The sequence below is a fragment of the Homo sapiens genome, chromosome 2 (genome assembly GCF_000001405.40).
Source record: "Homo sapiens chromosome 2, GRCh38.p14 Primary Assembly".
NCBI classification, from domain to species: domain Eukaryota; kingdom Metazoa; phylum Chordata; class Mammalia; order Primates; family Hominidae; genus Homo; species Homo sapiens.
The window spans coordinates 138,099,018-138,119,371 of record NC_000002.12 but is presented as its reverse complement, the minus strand read 5'-3'; the positions used below and the strand labels follow the sequence as shown (position 1 = coordinate 138,119,371).

The 20,354-nt window shown below is 37.6% G+C and overlaps 1 long non-coding RNA gene across 1 annotated transcript; it reads right to left on the bottom strand.

Annotated features, from left to right (window-relative positions):
• Positions 1–13,466: 13,466 nt before the first annotated feature.
• Positions 13,467–17,488, bottom strand: LINC01832 (long intergenic non-protein coding RNA 1832). The gene is made up of 3 exons (NR_135526.1): positions 17,451–17,488; positions 15,152–15,237; positions 13,467–13,895 (listed from the first exon to the last, which is right to left on the bottom strand). It is a non-coding gene; the product is annotated as a long intergenic non-protein coding RNA 1832 (long non-coding RNA).
• Between the last annotated feature and the right edge of the window lie 2,866 nt (positions 17,489–20,354).

Genomic DNA, 20,354 nt, shown 5'->3' with positions numbered 1-20,354 from the left:
GAAGATGTAATTTTAAATAGAAAGCTTATGGTTAGCATTTCATTAAAAGTGTATAGAAATTTGTTTGATGAAGAAAGTTTTAAAATAAGAAATATCTGATAAGGAAAAAAGGGAAATCTTGGAGACTTCAGTGAAAGAAAATAGTTCCATCTCCCTTTTGTAGGGCAGTAAGTATTCAGAAAAGTTAAGGAGGCTGGGTGGCTCTAGGTATGCTGAATGGAAGCAGGTACACCTGGGGCATTCACAGTCTCACAGTAAAATGCAAGCTACACACGCAATTTGAAACTTTCTAGTAGCCACTAAAAAATATAAAAAAGAGGTGAACTTGATTTCAATACTATATTTCATGTAACCCCATAAATCCAAAATATTATCATTTTGACATGCAATCAACAAATTATTATTAAAAGTTTATATTCTTTTTCATAGCAAGTGTTAGAAATCCAGTGTGTATTTTACATTTATTGCACATGTCAATTCAGGTGGTAAATTTTTATTCTTTGGATCTAAATTTGAACCTTTATTGATATTTCATAAAATTTACAGTTCTAAAAGAAGATATACATACTTAACTTGCTCCAAATATTCTTACAATTTTTACAATAATCAATTATCAGTTTTTAAAGGTAAATTTCAATTAACTAAGATTAAATATAATTAAAAATTTACTTTCTCAATAATACTAGCCACATCTCAAGAGTTGAGTAGCTATATGTGGCTAGTGGTCCCACATTGGACAGTGCAGGTCTGGAAGAATTGGGAGGAGGATGGCCATGAGAAATTACAGTGAAATTAGGAGGTGGCCACTGCATTAAAGAAGCATGAATGGAAAACCTCCTTTTCCTCAGTCATGCTCAAGCAGATAAGAAAGAGACTAACAAAATCAAACATTTGGTAACATAATGGAATACGGATTATTTATTTACCTGTCACTGAATTATTATTATTTTTAACTCTTCTCACATCTTCAAATCTTGGTTAGGATAATAGAGGGGGATAGGCACTATTTTTAAATCATAATAACATACAAAATGTAGCTACATAGATGTTAAGCCAGAGAGAGATAAAGGCTTGATTTTTTTGGAACATGAATCAGGTATTAAGACCAGTGTGGCAGCCTCTCTTCCTTTTCTCTTTCCTCCACCTCTCAGAATCTATCGGTCTAGGGCCATCCAGCATGGAACCAGAAACTAGAGGTTTACCTAATAGTCATACAAAGCCATCAGAGAGAACTAGAAATCTATCTCCATTTTAATGTCCACAAGAATTATATGATACTAAGAAATAGACTCTATGAAAAAAAGACATCAAATTAATTTATTCAAAAGGCTTTAGCATTAAATTCAAAGCATTTCAGGACCAAAGGATGCAAAGAAATGCAAAAATCCACTCAAGTGAACTTACTAGGCAGAGTTGCAGACAATAAGTAGACAGGTAGACATACTAAAAGCCTAACTTGCTTTAAGTGCTAAATTTGCCATTATAGACTATAAATAATGCTTAGGGCTAGGCACGGTGGCTCACACCTGTAATCCCAGCACTTTGGGATGCTGAGACGGGTGGATCACTTGAGGTCAGGAGTTCAAGACCAGCCTGGCAAACATGGTGAAACCCCGTCTCTACTAAAAATTACAAAAATTAGCTGGGTGTGGTGACAGATGCCTGTAATCCCAGCAACTTGGGAGACTGAGACAGGAGAATTGTTTGAATCCACGAGGCAGAGGTTGCAGTGAGCCAAGGTCGTGCCACTGCACTCCAGCCTGGGTGACAGAGCAAAACTCTGTCTCAAACAACAACAATAATAATAATGCTTAGAATGTCTCTACAAAGTCTATAATAGGATTATCTTAATTACATGTTCTGATTATATATTATTTGCAATTAACATATGCTAATATGTTAATTTTGTGAGCCAAACACCTTATCATTTTGCAATCTCAATTAGTTGAGAAGTTTTTTCCAAAACTGATTGGCATGATACAACTGTTTTCTTACTGAACTCAAAAACATTTAGATTTAAGTAAGACATATTCAAAGAATCAAACCTATTGTATTTCTTTTAGCTAAATAATAAGAGTACATTTGGAATTCTATATGCTTATGTTTAAGAGAATTTGTTCTCCCCAATAACAAGTGAAACTTACAAATTTAATATAAAATACATATTTGAATAACAGATTTAGACTTAGAATTTTAGATTAAAGTATTCCTCAATATGTAAACAATATTGGGACATTTTAGAGATCTAAGTGTTACTATTTCTTTCATTTATTTGCTATATAAAACTTACATGAGTATATCTCAGTCAGAGAGATAAAGTAAGTAAAAGGGAAACTGAAAATATTAAACTCATAAATGTGGATTAAAAATGTTTTCATTGAGTCCAACTATATCTCTACCAAAAATAATCAAAGGCATCCTCAACAGTGATTATTAATAGTTGTTGTATCTACAGAAAGATATTAAGTATAGTAAACTGAACTAAAAAAAGCTAGATTTGGAGATCTACAACTTTAAAATTTTGAATATTATTGTTAAAACAAGTTTTTTTCTTAATAGACATTCCTGTGTATGAAACATTCCTTGTATCTTTATGTATCGGGAAATTTCTAGATCAAATAACCTCTGCTTTATATGAAAGGCAGCATGGTAGAGATCAGGAGTTTGCCACATCATAAGTATTTCAGGCTTTGCAGGTCATATAGTCTCTGTTGGCAACTACTCAACTCTGTGGTTATAGCGTAAAAACAGCCATAATAATACACAAACAAATGGGCGTAACTGTGTTACAACAAAACTCTACGTACAAAAACAAAACAGATGGTGAGCTGTATTTGGCTTATGATCCATATTTGCTGACCCCAGGTATAGTTGGAAGTCATTAGTGTGTCCTATCACTGTGACCTGGCTACTAGCTCTACCATTCACTATATACTCTTCATGGTCTTGCTTTAAATTGGAATAAGTACATTGTATTTACAGGACTGGATAAATGATTGAGTGACTTAATGCATAAAGCTTCTGACATGGAGCATGCCTAATAAATTTTAGTTTCAGGATTTCATTATAGAAGGGATGCTGTTAAATAAAGTGGTAAGTTTGGGGAATGATAAAGAATTCCACTTGTGATGATAAGTGTGAGATGACAGAGAGCCAACCAATGGAAACCTTCAACAAGCAATAGGAAAATGGATAAGGAGCTCCAGAATAGAGTGCAGAGAGGGAGTTGAGTTGGAATTTTAACTTGGGTAATCAGGGTAGGCCTCACTAGGAAAGTATCCTCTGAGCAAAGACTTAAAGGAGTTGAAGAAACTGGCCATGGAGAACTGTTCCAAGCAGGAGAAACACCAGGACCTTGGACTTGAGGTGGAAGAATAGTTGAGATGCTCAGCAAACAGCTGGGAGGCCAGTATGCCTTCAGTGGAGTGAAAAGTTAGGAGATGAGATTGGAGAAGTAACTAGAAACCAATCATGTAGAATCCTGTAAGTCATTGTAAGGACTGGCTTTTTGCCCAGAAGAATGACATGATGTAGTTTCTATTTTGAAAATATCTTTCTGCTATGATATGATATGGCAAGTCTTTAGTGGGCAAAGATAGAAGTAGGAACACCAGTTAGGAATTGCTGTAATGCAAGTGAAACTTGATGGTTTCTCTGGCCAAGGTCACTGCAGTGGAGGTTATGAGAAATGGTCTTATTGTGGAGAGATATATATATATATATATATATATATATATATATAAAATTATATATAACATATATAATATAATATATTTATATATTATATAACATACAATATAATATATTTATATATTATATAACATACAATATAATATATTTATATATTATATAACATACAATATAATATATTTATATATTATATAACATATAATATAATATATTTATATATTATATAACATATAATATAATATATTTATATATTATATAACATATAATATAATATATTTATATATTATATAACATATTATATAACATGTTATATATTATATAACATGTTATATAATATATTATATATTATATAACATATTACATAATATATTATATAACATGTTATATATTATATAACATGTTATATATTATATAACATGTTATATATTATATAACATGTTATATATTATATAACATGTTATATAATATATTTATATATTATATAACATATTATATAATTTATATATTATATAACATATTATATATTAATATATTAATGTATAATATTATATATATATATTTGAGATGGAGTTTCGCTTTTGTTGCTCAGGCTGGAGTGCAATGGCATGATCTTAGCTCACCACAACCTCCACTTCCCGGGTTCAAGCAATTCTCCTGCCTCAGCCTCCTGAGCAGCTGGGATTACAGGCATGCACCACCATGTGTGACTAATTTTGTATTTTTAGTAGAGACAAGGTTTCTCCATTTGGTCAGGCTGGTCTCAAACTCCCAACCTCAGGTGGTCCACCTGCCTCGGCCTCCCAAAGTGCTGGGATTACAGGCATGAGCCACTGCACCCGGCCTATTCTGAATATATTTTTAAGGCAGAGGCAAGAGAGTTGCTGATTAACTCTTTGTTTGATGAATCTGGAATGTGTAATAGAAAGAGAGGGGTCAGAGATGACTCCCAGTTGGAGGTGGACCAGATCATATATAAGATCTCTTCTCAATATTTTATGATTCTATAATTATAAATGATATGTCCTAATTGTGATCTTCAAACCTTGGGTGCTGGAATAAAATGGGTTAAAGCAGGTTTCACCTAGGTTTTAGAATTTACTGCTGCACAGTTTTTCCCCCTTTGGAAAAGCAGAAACTGAAGCCAGAGCTGTGAGAATATGCACTGCCTCAATGGGTATAATCGACAAATAATTTTGTGTGAGGGTGCTAAAGTATTAACCTTGCCTCTCTCGGGTGAATAATATAGTATTTTAACCCAAACTCACCAAATTATAAGCCTCAGCTTTTTAAGAAGGGAGAAGGAACTGTAAGGGTTAAAGAAAGAAGAAAAACATGAAAAGTGGCGCAACAGTCAAAGACCAGTTTATTTGGGAGAATAAACCTGAGAGGGGCTTCTGGCTGATTTTTGGTTAGGAGCCTTCTCTCTTACAGAATAAGGGTATTTAAGGGTATAGGAAGGGAGAGCTTATTACAGGCTCAGAATGTTTCTGTGTGGAGGAGAGTTTTATTACACAGTTGGAATGTCTCTGGTCGGAGGGGAGGTTATCTTGGGGTTAGCATGTTTCTGGTTGGAGGGGAAGTTATCTCAGGGTTGGCATGATTCTGGTCAGAATGGGTTTATCTCAGGCTTGGAATGTTTCTGGTCAGAAGTGTCACTTGTGGTTTATGGTCATGCTGACAATAGCCATTAGGCTGATGTTTTCTGGGCTGGATTTAGGTGGTTTTTAATCAAGGGGAACTTAAAATGGCAGTGTTTGTCTAAGATGGGGATGCTTCTGCTCTGTCAGGAACTACTGAAAAAATGGTTCTTCCTGGTCTGGTAGGCTGAAGGATTGGTGGCTCCATGTTCCATCTGAGTCTGAAACTATCTAGGCAGTGGTGTTGCATCCATCTCCTTTGATGCTCTGAAACCAAGTCTTCCTTCATTAACTTTCCCTATGACTGAAATATTGTGCCCAATAAGAGCTAAGCCACAGTCCAGGAGTAGCTATTAACATTGTGCCACTGTTAAGGTACACCTAGGCCTTGAGGAAGTGTTCCCAGCAGTTCATACATTATCCCACCCTGGGCCAGAAAGTGTGTGCTATAAGCACTCTTTCTATCTCTTTCTTTATGTCCTTCTCCACAGTAAGTAAACTACTTTTAACATCCTCAATATTAAATGTTTTATATTCTTATAAATTATGTAAAATTATTGAGATAATCAGAATTTACTACAAATTACTGAAATGAACCCAGAGAAATTCTACATTGTTCTTTTTATTCTGTCATCTAATAGACAAGGGATCAAACCAGCACATGCCACATCTGTTGGCTCCTTAGACATTACCAGGGAATATTTTTAATATAAATATTCTCAAGCCTTGCATCAGAGCTACTAAATCCTGCGTGCTGGGACTTAGGCCTTGGAATCGCCTTTTTTTGTTTTGTTTTGTTTTATTCTTTAAATCTTCCCAGAAGATTTTAATGCAATTGACATGGATAAGATTTTCCAGAACAGTGCTTTGGGTCTTCCCACAATTATTGTGAACATAATGCTTAGAAAATATTCCAAAGCAGTTGTCACTAAAGAACTGAAGATTCTAAGAAAATTGTAGCCCAGATGTCATATTTGGCAGACTTGTCATTCACTGCAAAGATGATATCTGCCCATTTGAGATAAAGAGCTGACTTCAGGGGCCTCTTTATGGGTCACTCTGAAATGATCACCTATAGCTCTATCTCCTTTACTTTTGATTATCAAATGATCAGTTTTGCTGCCTGGTTAGAGAATGTAGTGTTGTTTGTTAGTTTATTTTCATCATCAGTAAATTTCTGATCCCTGCCAAAGTTTACTGAAACTGCCAACCATACATTCTTCAAAATAATTCACATCAATAACATGAATTTGAAAGCCCTCTCATTCCTTTCTTGGCAGCTACAAACTGCTGACTCACAGACCTTTCCCTGTTGAGTGTGTTTAACTTCATATCGCAGTTTAATAGTTTCATTCCAAAACAAAGACTGGAATTGGAAAGTTCAGGGAGAGAGTGCAGTAGGTGAAATGAAAGTTTCAATATATGTTACCATATATAGGAATATTAAATTACCTCTAAATAATACACAAGCTGTGACATGAAGCTGAAATGAATCTGTGACAGAATGTTTCATCCAGACGCAACTTCTCATCTTCTCTTGGAGAAAGGATAGAAAAACAAGCTGACTTTGTGAAATGTTTTCCAATTAAGGCATTTCCATTTCAAATTCAAACTTGTCACCTGAGTTTCTGGATAATCCAGTGAAAAGCGAGTTCATCCTCCAATCATTTCAGACAAAATCAAGACTTTTTATTAATGAAGCACAATGTCATTAAACTAGTTGCCTTTCCAGAATGAAGTTCAATATCTTATAATTATGCCCTTGGTTTCTCAGGCATCCAAATTATCATGTTAAAGAAGAGGGAGAGTTGATTTCTGGTGGCTATACAGTAAACTTCCTTCAATCCACACTCTTGGGCAAGATTATAAACTAAGCCAGCAAAGTAAGGTAAAGTCACATGCATTGTGATTTTGTAAGGTGGTGAACAACTCTTCCTAATTTTTTGACAAAAATATAAAATTTTCCTGGATCTATTTGGGAGTCACATTGCTGAAAACTCAGTAACTATTAAAGCCATGCAAAAATACTGTGTGCTTCTATGTAAAATGGAGTAGATTATTGAGTCAGATAATTGTAAACAGATTTTTTTACCTACATGATGTACACTGAGCACTCAACATCATGAATGAAGTTAGAATGTTTTACTATGTGAAAATGTAATATGCACTGTGACTTTACCACTCTCCTTGGTCCCCATCACTAAATGCCAATAGTGACTCCTCATCATTGTGACAATAAAAAACCCTCTCCCTGTAAATTTCCAAAGGCATCCAAAAGGATAGTACCATATCCCTTAATCAGTTGATCACTGATGAAACTGTTGAGGAAACAGACACAGTGGTCTTGATATCCTTCCCCACCTACTTAAGGACAGCAACCCATGAAAAGCCTACAAAATACAGATGTCATCATGTAAACTGATGTCTGTATTTTGAGATAATTCTCAATCTTTTCAGGCAGAGTGGTGAAATAAAGGAGCTGTGGATTTAGAATGAGAAGATTTAAGCTCCAATCCGAGTCCTGCCTGGAATCTGGCTGCTATGTGACCTTGGCCAAGTCACTTTCCCACTCTGGGTCTCATTATCCTTATCAGTAAAATGGAGATAAAAGTAATAATAACTGTCCTGTCTGCTTCACAGAATTGCTAAGAAAATGATAATCAGTATGAGATTGGATTTTGTCAACTAGTGGGTTGTTATAACTAAGTGGTAGTTCTTGTTGCTCAGAGATGCCATGAGGAGATAGGAAGGTAGATTGTATGGCCTCTAGGGTTGCATATAAGCCTAGGACTCACTGGTGTTTTAATCAGATAGATAGTGTGACTAAGTGTGAGTTCACTATGTCCATTATGGGCTCACACTGTGTCCAGTACCAGTTAATCTAGGTTGGATTCACTCCTACGTGCTGAGCACATTTTTTTCTGTTGTCCCTGGACACAGCTTCCAGGACATGCTCTTCTCTCTTTTATTCTATCTCCTCCTTACCACACTGGCACCATCCCTTTGTAAAAATCATTTTCCCACTTGCTTATTCCCTCTGCTTCATGAACCCACTCTTCCCTCACAATGGCCATTCTCTCTGAAATTCAGTTTCGGCTGAATACTAAGAACATAAAACAGTAGCTCCTAACCTTTACCACATACTGGAATCACCTGTGTAATTACTCAGACCATACCAGTTTATATGGCAATAATGTCCTCACGAGTTCTACCAATTTTTTGACTCTCTAGCAACATTTAGAAAGGCCAGGGTAGACACTAGAGTTAAGAAATTAGCTCAAACAGGCAAAAAACAATCAGTAACAAAGTAGCCAGGAACCTGACATTTCATGTAAGATCTGGATGTCCAAACAAGAGCAGGAAAACCACAATGAGGTCAATACAGTTTGGAGATAAAAGCTGGAATTTGGTACAGAAGTTCAGGGTCCATAGGTGAGTACAGATTAAACAGAATGACCAGTCTGGGTGCATATGCAATTAGTATACTAGACACTTCTCCTTGGTTGATGCTTTTCTTATACTCTTAGACTTGCCCAAGAACTTTCCTCTTTGCTGGGTAAGGGCAGAGCTCTGGTGCTTGCTTGAACAATCACAATACGCAATCCATATATTCCCTAGGCAAAATCTGCCGTGTAGAAATCTAAGGTGGAATTCATCAGAATTCACAAATGCTCCCCTGAAAGATGATCTGAGTTTTCTCAAGTGGGCCTTTGTGAAAGACAAGGCTGGAGCTAGGGGTTAGCCCCAGACCCTGAGATTAGGACCACAGGACAACCAGACATTATTGAGAAGAGCTCAGGAGGCAGAACAAACCCAGGCCTCCTCACGGGTCATGGTAATTGAGAGAATCAAAGTAATGGTGATTCTCAAACTCAGATAGGTAATTGGTTCATGGTTCTGTGTGATGGAGGGGTTGATTCAATTTAAGTAGATCATAACCAGTATCTGGGAGAACTGAAAAAGGGTCCAACTCCTGGGAAAAAGGACAGAGGAAACCAACCAAGTGCATTACAGTTATTAGCAACATTCTCTTTTTAAGAGAAGTCAACAGGGAAACTAAGCTCAAGTGCAATCATTCAGGCTGAGCATTGGCAGCTGCGGTTAGAGAAACCCTGGGCTCTGCGACTTGCTTCCTCTTGGACCACTCGTTCCAGACTTGTTGTATCTGGAGCTACCAATATACTCTCCACATTGGTCCAAACTGGATCAAAAATTGGGTCGGCTGAGCCCACAAGTTAATGGCATGAGTTATTATTGGGCCTGAACTGTGTGTTTTCAGGAAATGATAAACTCTCAATGGGCCTTTGGTATATTTGGGCTCAAAGGCACCTGTCACAGCTACCCCACATGGAAGGCTGCTGTGCTCCAAAGCCAGAGGCCATTTTTATAATATTTTGTGGAATATGTTACCTCCCTGTCCACAAAGCCTTGGCCAGAAGTGTGTTCCATGTTTTTGAACCTTGGCCACTTTACCACTACTCACCTGGAGTTTACAATCAGCTCCTTGACGTGAGAGAAATCACTCCTGACTCAAGGCTTTGATTCTTCCTCCAGGACCTTAATGAGAGTCTGAGCTTACAGGTGGCCCTGAGCTGGCCCAGGCAGACCACAGGGGAAAGCAATGCTGCGATCTTCAAGATGCATTCCCTAATTCATGCATGCTTTCTCCATGGTCAATGAGGTGCTCATTTGTCTTTCTGACATTTTCCGTGTTTTGTTATGAGTAGATAGCAGAAATTTGAATTTCCACTGATGACACAGTAAGGCTTTGGTATAATCCTCATTGACCTGAGATTCAGAAGGCCCAGATTTTAGCAGGCTCTGCCACCATGTAAATTTAGGTATGTATTAAACATCTCTGAGCATTAATTTCTTCTTCAGTAAAATGAGAAAGTGATACCTAATTTTTTTGTCCTTGAGTTGCAATAAAAATCAAATAAAACTCTAAATACAAGCTATAAGAAGGAATATAGATAAAAACTATTTATCCATTTACTCATTCATTCTCTCAGAGTTAATGAGCCTCTATTTATGTAGCAGGGAGAGCTAGTCACTGGAGATATTAGGCAAGTGTATTATGCAGGTATAAATGAAATAATCATTCTAACAAATGTAAGTTACAATTCTGACAAAGGCAATAAAAGAAAGGTATGTGGTTCATATGATAAGGGGAATCCAACCTCCTGATGGTGTTCTTTAACTGAGCTGTGGAGGATGGAAAGAATTTAACCAGGTAAGAGGATAGAGAAGAGAATTTTAGTAACTAGAAACAGCAAAAGTCAGGAGAGGGCATGACAGATAAAAAGCACCACCAGTAAGCCAGTGAGGGTGCAATAGAGAGAAGGACAAGGTGCTGGAAAATGAGGTTTGGGAGGCAGGTCAGACCTGGATCACACATCGCTACTTTGGTCATGGTGAGGACATTCTGCTTTAACGTAAAGCAATGAGATTTTGAGGGAGATGGGAGAGTGATGAAGGGAAGTGATGTGCATCTTGAGACCATCACTTTGATAGATATTTGACTGCATATCTTTTTATATTCCTTAACTTTATCCTTCATGTATCTCACTTTAAATTTTCTGTTTACTCTGATGGTTATTGTCTTTGGAAGCAGGCATATTTGGACATAAATTCGAGTTCTACCATTCACCAATTGTATACTTATTCTTCTCTGATTCTCCATTTTCTAAACTATACAATGGTGATGGTAATTCTTATCTCAAATTTTCTTAGGAATATATGCGATGGTATCTATGTAATTTCTGGCACACAATGTCAACAAATGCTAGTTTTTATTATTATCCCCTCTAATAATTTACTCCTCTTGTAATCACATTTTTCTGGATAGGATCCATTTTAGCTTTTTAAATTTTTTAATAAGAAGGTGGAATCATTGATCTACTATCCATAAAAGATGTTATTTCATTTATTTCCCATAGAGGGGATGGGAAATAAATGAAAGCCATTACCTTTGCTCCCCAGCACCTCTAAATGTAATGCCCATGCATTACATTACTTTGTCTAGCAATAGTTTACCTGAAGTAAGGAATTAATATCATTACCCTTTTAGAATTTTGCTATATTGAATAGTATAAAATGATTCCAGATTCCAAGAAAAGGGTAAGGCATGAGTTAATTTAGGTTGTATTGACACCACTATCAACCATTAACTGGAGGGCGTTTACCTTTCTCAACTGGATAGAGTAGCCCAGTATAAAGCCAGTGTAGCTGGTCTTACACTATTGAAAAATTGTTCACCCCACCTACTAAGCTGTTGAATGTGCAGTGAAGTTCAATAAGCAAGCTCCAGACACTATTTAAAATGAAAGTGGCCAGTTTTGAGTAAGACAATGAAAAAGTTAGGTGGAATTTTTCCAACGAAGGGTAAAATATCAAAATTAATTTTGGGGGAAAATTAAGATTCTCCTCACAGTCTCAAAGCTTTCTTCTCTAATCACACTTCAGACACTATCAGTGAACAGAGAATCTTTGTATTATTTCCAAGTTTCTCCCATTGTCAGTCACTGTGACAAAGTGCTGGCCAGTCTGACATAATGATGAATCACTCCAGACATTGAGTTTTCACATAGCTGTCGAGGGTTCTCGGTAGACTTTGTTGTCTGAAAATGCTACGGACCAATACTAGGTGCTCTGCTCATGAACAAAGCCAGGATTTGGCAAAATTAAACATATGTATTTTAGAAAAAAAAAGAGAGGTGTAATAAACATTTACTATTTCTGTTCCTACCATGTCTTCATGCTGCAATTGATTTAAATGCCTATTAAACAAATCCTCACTTCCCAAACCTCATCTCTATATTCTGCTGGAATGAGTTAGATTTCAGAGTACATTGAGAAGTTGAAATATCAAACAAACATTTTTATTTATTGTTTTCAGCTACAAAATAGCATGTGGGCTCTCCTTACCCTTTATCCTGGAAATTTTAACATACCACATAATTCTTTGCTAATAATATTTTTAACTGATTAGAACTTACAAATCGAATGCTGAATGATGGATTGATGCATAGCTCAATGTAAATGTACTTGTAATGTCTACCTTAGTTTCCTGTTAGAAAGCTTGTCAATACACCAGTGCCTCAAATCCATTTTCTCAGTAAAAATGTTGCAGTTTTCTGATTATTATTCACAAAGGCAGCTTCCTGAGTTATTTCTTCTCCTGCACAATATTCATGATAGCAATTTGATACCTTAGCAGTTTCAAGGTTATCAAGTGATGGAAAATCCTACTGCTTACTTCAAGGTGTAACATATACAACTGTGCTGTCATCCATTATAGCATTATAGCAGTATAATAGTTTTTCGTAATGCCTTTCATGAACTGCTGATTTAGAAGTGTAAGCCTAACTTCTGAAGGCACTTATCAGTCTCAGGCTAGGGGAGTATTGCTTCACTGGAAAACATCAGCAGGGACCCTTTGTGCTACTGGAAAAGAAAAAAAAGGAACTAACTTTCATTTCTCTCCTAGATAGTGTTAGAGCCTTGTCCTGTGAAGTCATTAAAGTGCATCTGCAAAAAGAAAGAAACAAACAAAAGCCATGGTTTAGCCTTTGAAGGGCTAGTGCTAATCAGCAATGAATCTTAGAAGGAACCATTTGATTTTGCAGATTGTGGAGGTTAAGTTAGAAAAAAGACATTACTGAGAGAAATGATGGAGGAGATTTTGCTAAAGTAACAACACAAAAAAGTCAAGCAAATTCATAATGATGCTGGGAGGTAAAACCCATCATTACTGAAAGCACCCTTTGCACATATTGTTCTATCCACGCATTGAATTTTGGTTTAGGGGTCTCTGGTTGAGCAGAGGGTTGCTTGAGTGAGTTTAGAAGGTGGCATCTGTTTAAGTAACAGATGTCTGTGTCACCAAGGTGCTGTGTTCTCACTTTTTATATAGGGGAAATTGCTGCTGAAAGAGTTTTATTGTTTTTATGCAAATGAAAATATCATATTCTTCTCCTTAAAGGGTTTCTCTTCCTGATGTGGATCCACAACAATCACAAAGGACCCCAGCCTCTTGGACTTTTTAAAAATATATTTTGGAATCTGATAAAGTTTCTTATGCACTGCCAACTATGCATGAAATGAGATCTGGAATTGTAGACATACTTGCTCTTTTTTAACAAGGCCCCACTGGGTTGAAGCAAATTGAGCAGGGTAAGAGTCAATGCTGACCCTTCTGTGGCACCAAGAAACTGGATCTGTAGAGGCATTCACACCCCTTGAGCTAGCTCTAAGCATGGAGGGGAAGGCTTGCCTTAGGGCATAATTTTGACTTCGTTCATTTGGTTCTTGGCTTCTAGAAATTTCTGATTCCTTTTATTTTCCAGAAGAGATGAGGGAGAGTGGAGTCATCCAAAAACACCCTTCAAGTAGACACATATAATTAACTATGACAAATATTCTGGGTGATAAGATGAGAAGGAAGCAGGAAGAGCTGTATTTCTGCTCTGTAACAAAGTATGATGATTATCTTGAAGAAAAATACTTGTGCAATTATTTGAGTTTCAGGCTGAACTACTCATTTCTTTTATGGAATGTCAGTTTTATCTGAAAGTACAAAAGAGAGACAAACTATAGGAATTCAGAGTTAAGCATTTAGGATTTGCCATGAAAATGAACAACATGAGTCTTTCATTTCTAGGAAAATGACTGATGGTGTTTATTGCCAGCAGTAAAATCCAAACTTTCAAGGGAAAATTTGAATTTTGGAAAACTTGTTTCCATCACCATGAGCTTACTAGCTTCATAATATTTAGAGTGTCCTCTAATGAAATTGGTGGTTTTGATAATAAATTTGATTTTTTTGATACTGTAAAATGAAATGTGTCAGTATTCAAAAAACCTGCATAATTCAGTGAACCAATATTTTCCAAGACACCATGATGTTGCAGAATCATGCTTAGTTAAAAGATACATTCAAAGTACAAAATGGGCTAATGGATTGTAATATAACAGAGTAAGAAAAGCTTATTGATATGGTTTCAGATTCCACCCACAACTAACTTTTAAGGCACTACTACTTGTTGAGTTTTGGTGTACTATCAAAAAAGAATATCTACATTCATCTGAAAAGTCTATTAAAGTTCTTCTTACTTTTCCATCTACATATTGTTCTGAGGCCACATTTCCTTCACATATTTTTGTAAAACAACATACAGCAGATTGAGCCCAGAAGCAGATATAGAAATCTACGTATCTTTTTTTCTGTTCTTTTTTTTTTTTTGAGATGAAGTCTTGCTCTGTCACCCAAGCTGGAGTGCAGTGGCATGCAATCTTGACTCACTGCAACCTCCGCCTCCCAGGTTCCAGTGATTCTCCTGCCTCAGCCTCCCAAGTAGCTGGGACTATAGGCACGCGCCACCACACCAGGCTAATTTTTGTATTTTTAGTAGAGATGGGGTTTCACTATGTTGGCAAGGATGGTCTTGAACTCCTGACCTCGTGATCTGCCTGCCTAGGCCTCCCAAAGTGCTGGGATTACAGGCGTGAGCCACCACACCCGGCCATCTACCTATCTTTTTTGAAGCCAAACAAAAGCAGGATTCAGGCTCACAGAGGTTCTCAGAGACTAATTATTGAATTGGTTCACTTATTAAAATAAACCTAGAAGACCTTTGTCAATATTCTTTTCTTGTGGACACTGTAGAAATTAAAGTGGTTTCAGGAGCTCATGAGTAGTCTCATATTTTTCAAGAAGAAAACTAGATTCTATACCCAGGGAAGCCACGTAGTTGTGGTAAACCCAAGATTCCTAGGCATGAGTAGCCCAGTGCCAGTGAGGTCAAGTGAACATTAAGCCTTACCTAGCTCATTAAGCCCCAGCTGCACACTTCAGGACCTCAGCATATTCTCTTCAGGGTCTTGCACTCCCTCCATGCCACCAGTGTTTCTGAAATTTTTGAAATGTTTTTCATTTGTGTTTGTAGGTCAGTTAAGTCTGCTAGGAGTCTCTGTCCTGCTGCATGTAGCTCAAGGCACAGCTATATTGTCAATGCTTTCCCTCTGACTAACTAAAAACCAGATTTTTCTTTTTTAAAAATTTTGGAATCTGATGGGCTTCATGTCATTGCCTTCAAGTGGCATCATCACCGTTGCTTGAAGAATGCTGAGAGGATGTTCTTTTACTAGGAGATGGCAGTGTAGTGAGCATCGCAATAAGGATTATGAGCTATGAAATAGGAAAAGACCAGCTGCCTGTTCAAGACCTTGAGGAAAAAGGAGATGGGTGAAGGTAGCTTCAAAGTAAAACTAGGCACTGGTGGAGGCTGTGTGTAGGATCTAGCTTGGCACTTAGTGACTGGGGGAGGATGTTAGTGGGGAAGTGATGAGGTGAGGAGCTGAACTTCCACAGAGGATATGGCTAAGCTAGAAATCTGGCTTGTGAAAATGTTCTGGTAACATAAAATTTTTCAAGGAAAAATGGGTTCACATGACTTCAAGATGTCCCTAAAGTATCTACAAAGCTGGTTAAAGAGGCCACAGCCCAAGGGTCTGATGATTCCCCCTTATCAAGGTTTACCTGACAGAAGTCCCATTCCCTCCAACCTTGCCATTGATCAAGAGATAATAAAACAATGACTGTTTAATGAGTGCCTCCTCCTGGAAAAGAGAGTTGTCTTGAATGAGTGGGAAATTTGAGAGGCAGGTTTGAAATAGGCAAGAATTTCAGAACTCCTAACAGCTGAAAATAGTTGCCAACCCCACTTACCCTGAGTCATATGCCTGATCTGGAGATTGAACCACTTTCTTCTATTTATCCTATTCTCAATTATCTTTATTTCAAAAATCACATTTGAAGGAAAGAATCTTCTGAAAATCAGAAATCTTAGAAAACATCTCTCAACACTTGTAAGCTGCTAGCGCTTTTTGTCCCCCAGTGTCTGGATGGGTTTTGGGGTAATAAGCTTATTTTAGTAGTTCAATAAATACAATATCTTCTATGAAAATAAGTATGATTCAGAGAGTTTTTTTATCATAATTCAACATTATTTTAAATGATCAATGCTAAAATTTCTTTGCATTAGTGTAGACAAATATAATTTGATTAGACCTAGCCTTCAGAGATCAGTTTTCAGACACTGTGATCAAACTTTTGTGATGTTCTTTGAGTTAGAGGAGGTAGAATACACCATAAAGCATATCTAAAAAATATGTATGAGTCAGCATTATGGATATAATGGATATCAAGGCAGGTTTGCAGGCTTTGTCTAAAAATGGTGAAGCTCAATTGTTATCTTTGTAGTGCCTAGCAGTTTATTATTTGTGGGCAAAGTATTTGTAGATGTCATTAGAATGGCTATTATTAGTTTTTTTATTTCCACAGATAACCTAAAAATGAGAAATGGATATCATAGCAGCTGAGCAGAATGGTAATTGGGGTATCTGGGGACTTTTCTTGCATATCTCCATTAGCATGGAACATTTAAAGGCACACTGCACACTTGGGTGTAGCTAGAGATAGCTGAGTCTCAAAGATGACCCCGAGCTTCTTATGTGGGATGAGAGTGAACATGTGCAATTTGAGTACAATAAAGAACATATGCAACTGTGTTAGAAGCATAGAACATGAAACCTTTCTCTGTTCCTCCCTTATTCCACCTAAGAGAAAACCTGTACCTCTCCCTCAACATCATCTTCAAATCCATTCCATTCCCCTTCTCAACAAAGCAGCCCCCCTGAATCTTGTCTGGATACTGTGGAGGCAGAAGGTAACAGGGAAGAGTAGAAAGCAAGTTAAAAGGATGCGATGGTGAGAGAAAGAAAAGAGCCATGATGGGCCATCATGGTAAGGAGTGTGACTACTTAGAGCAGAAGCAGAAGGCTCAGATTCAGACGGCAGGTAGCTTGCTGGCTTGAATCAAGCCGAGATTACCATTCCTCTGACCTGAATTAATACAAGTTTTGCAATAGCCTTGATCATGGATAGCAGATAGATTTCTTCTGGAATGCTGGTGGCATTTGATGGGCAATGTATCTGGCATATTGTGTTAAAATAGATTTTAAAGCTAAATTTGGACTGAGGGGGAGAGAAAGTTGTGATTCATTAACAATATCTACCACAGACATGACAAGGGAGATTGCAACATGTGAGATATTTACCACCTCTGCTCCACATGGGTCTGGGGTAGCCTGCCAAATGTGTGTCTTCTTCTTTCCACATTCTTAGGTTCTAAGGTCACCTTGACGCTTGGTGGCATTGTCTGTTTTAAGAGGTTGGCATGTGTATGACAATTTTTGCATTAGACTATTGCTATATTTTTCTGTCCTTCCGTTTCTAGAAGGCACAGGGGATTCAAGTCTCCATGTTCATTTTCACAATCCTCTTCATTGATCCTGTTCCCAGAATAATTTTCCTAAGACTATTCCAGAGATGCCTACATCAGTCTCTGTATTCTTGAAAATGTATGACAAGGACAAAAATGAAACTATTATGAAAGAGAGAAGACTCAGGAGGATTCTTTCCCTAGGCCCTGAGATCCTCACAATAGTTCAAGGGAAATGACAGCCAAGGGCTTCCTTATCTGTTCCCTTTGCTTGACCAGCCCCTAGAATGTGAACAGTTGTTCAGGAAATCCACATTATACATTGCCTGTTCCCTCTATTTATATTGCATTTTAATGTAATTGGTTGCTTTCCCTCATTTGTTTCAGGGTGGTGACACAGCTCTGGGGGCCTAAGGATGATGAAGTGAATGAGGACGGAGAGAGAAAGAGAGTACACACATGAAAAGCCCTATCAGCAATACTTCTTCTTATTTATAGTGACAACCCCAAGCAAAATATAAAAATATATTTAGAGAGATGACAGCTTTGCTGCTTCTTGATCACAAACCAACACTTAGGAGTTCCCTTTTGTGACCAGATAAAAAGGGCTGCACCTCGATAAAACAGGGTGAGAAAAAAGGAAAGAGAGAAACTGGATGAAGGGCACTGTGTCCTGGATAAAACCAGTACAAGAACCAATACATTAAATAGAAGGAGCCTCAGAATATTGCCTGTGGGTGCCTTGGAATGAAGATGGATGGAAACCTCCTCCCATCCAGAAATCATAATGCCAAGAAAGCAAGAGGTCTTTAGACTTGCCTTCCAGTCCTAGAACTTATATTTAATAAATAAAACAATTAGTCTTCAATTTATTTCAAAATAAGAGAGGGGAAAAAGGTGCATGAAAATATTTGAGAGGGGCATTAGTTATTCCTGTGTTAAGAAGAGGCAGTCACAACTTATAAAAAAGTCCACCTTCAAACAATTCAACTTAAGTGTGCTCTCTGCAAAACCCAAGTGGTACAATGATGAGTAAGACACAGACCCTGTTCTTAACAAAGTCGTGGCAATGGAACCAAAAGTTTATTTGAACGTTGGTTTGAAACTTGTAATGCCATCTCCATAGAGTTAGTGTTAAATATGGCAGTTGGTTTTCAGTTCACGATTCCTTTGTTCCTAAAACATAATTCTGTTATAGTCTGAATGTTTGTGTACCCCCAAATTCATGTTAAAATTCTAACCCCCAGGGAGATGGTGTTAGGAGGTGGGGCCTTTGGGAGGTGATTAGATCATGAGGGTAAAGCCCTCATGAATAGGATTATTGCCCTTATAAAGGGATCCACAGAGCTACCAGGCTCCTTCTACCATGTGAGGAAGGACATAGCTAGAAAGTGCAGTTTTTATAAATCAGGAAGTGGGTCCTCACCAGACACCAAATCTGCTGGTGCCTTGATCTTGGACTTTCCAGCCTCCAGAATTGTCAGAAATACATTTCTGTTGTTTACAGGCCACCTATTCAGCTTATATGTTGATATACCAGCTCTAACAAACTAAGATATATTTCTTTTATTTTCTTCCTTTATCTTCAATTTTCATTTTAAGCTCAGAGGTACATGTGCAGGATGTGCAGGTTTGTTACATAGGTAAACATTTGCCATTTTGCTGTGGGGGTTTGCTGCACAGATCATCCCATCACCTAGGTTTTTGTTTTTTTTTCTATTCTTTTCTTTCTTCTTCTTCTTTTTTTTTTTTTTCTTTTTGAGACAGCTTCTCACTCTGTCACCCAGGCTGGAGTTCAGTGGCACAATCTTGGCTCACTGCAACCTCCGCCGCCCAGGTTCAAGCAATTCTACCTCAGCCTACTAAGTAGCTGGGATTATAGGTGCACACAACCACACCCAGCTAATTTTTTTCTCATGGAGACAAGGTTTCAACATGTTGGCCAGGCTGGTCTCGAACTCTTGACCCCAGGTGATCCACTCGCCTTGGCCTCCCAAAGTGCTGGGATTACAGGCATGAGCCACCATGCCCAGCCTCATCACCTAGGTATTAAGCCCAGCATCCATTAACTATTCTTCCTGTTGCTCTTCCTCCCCACACTGGCAGGCCCCAGTGTGTGTTGCTCCCCGCCATGTGTCCATGTGTTTTTATCATTTGGCTCCCACTTATAAGTGAGAACATGCAGTGTTTGATTTTCTGTTTCTGCATTAGTTTGCTGAGGATAATGGCTTTCAGCTCCATCGGTGTCCCTGGAAAGGACATGATCTTGTTCCTTTTTTATGGCTGCATAGTATTCCATGGTGTATATGTACCACATTTCCTTTATCCATCAAACTAAGACATACTTCTATAAGGCTATTTCAACATTTATTTCTCTAGCACTGTGTTTATATTATTCTTTTTTAAATGTGGGCAAAAGAGTATTTCGAGCTCCAATCTAGTACTAAAAAGTGCCTTTCTGAATGCATTCATTCAAATATCTGACTTCTCTGATATTGATTCACTTTAAAAGTGAGAAGAGCTGGGGGTGGGGAGAAGGGCAGAAGGCTCCCTGTTGCAGAGAGTTCAATGTTCACTCTGTATGTGAGGACCTGAAAATGCCAGTTCTGCCTTTGGCTGAAGACCTCTCACCAATGCTTTGGACATTTTTCTCTGGTTCTGTCCTTGCTATCCATGCACAGTTGGTTCACTTAACCTGACTGGCTTTGAGGGCACATGCAAGTTTACATAAATGCCCTTCTGC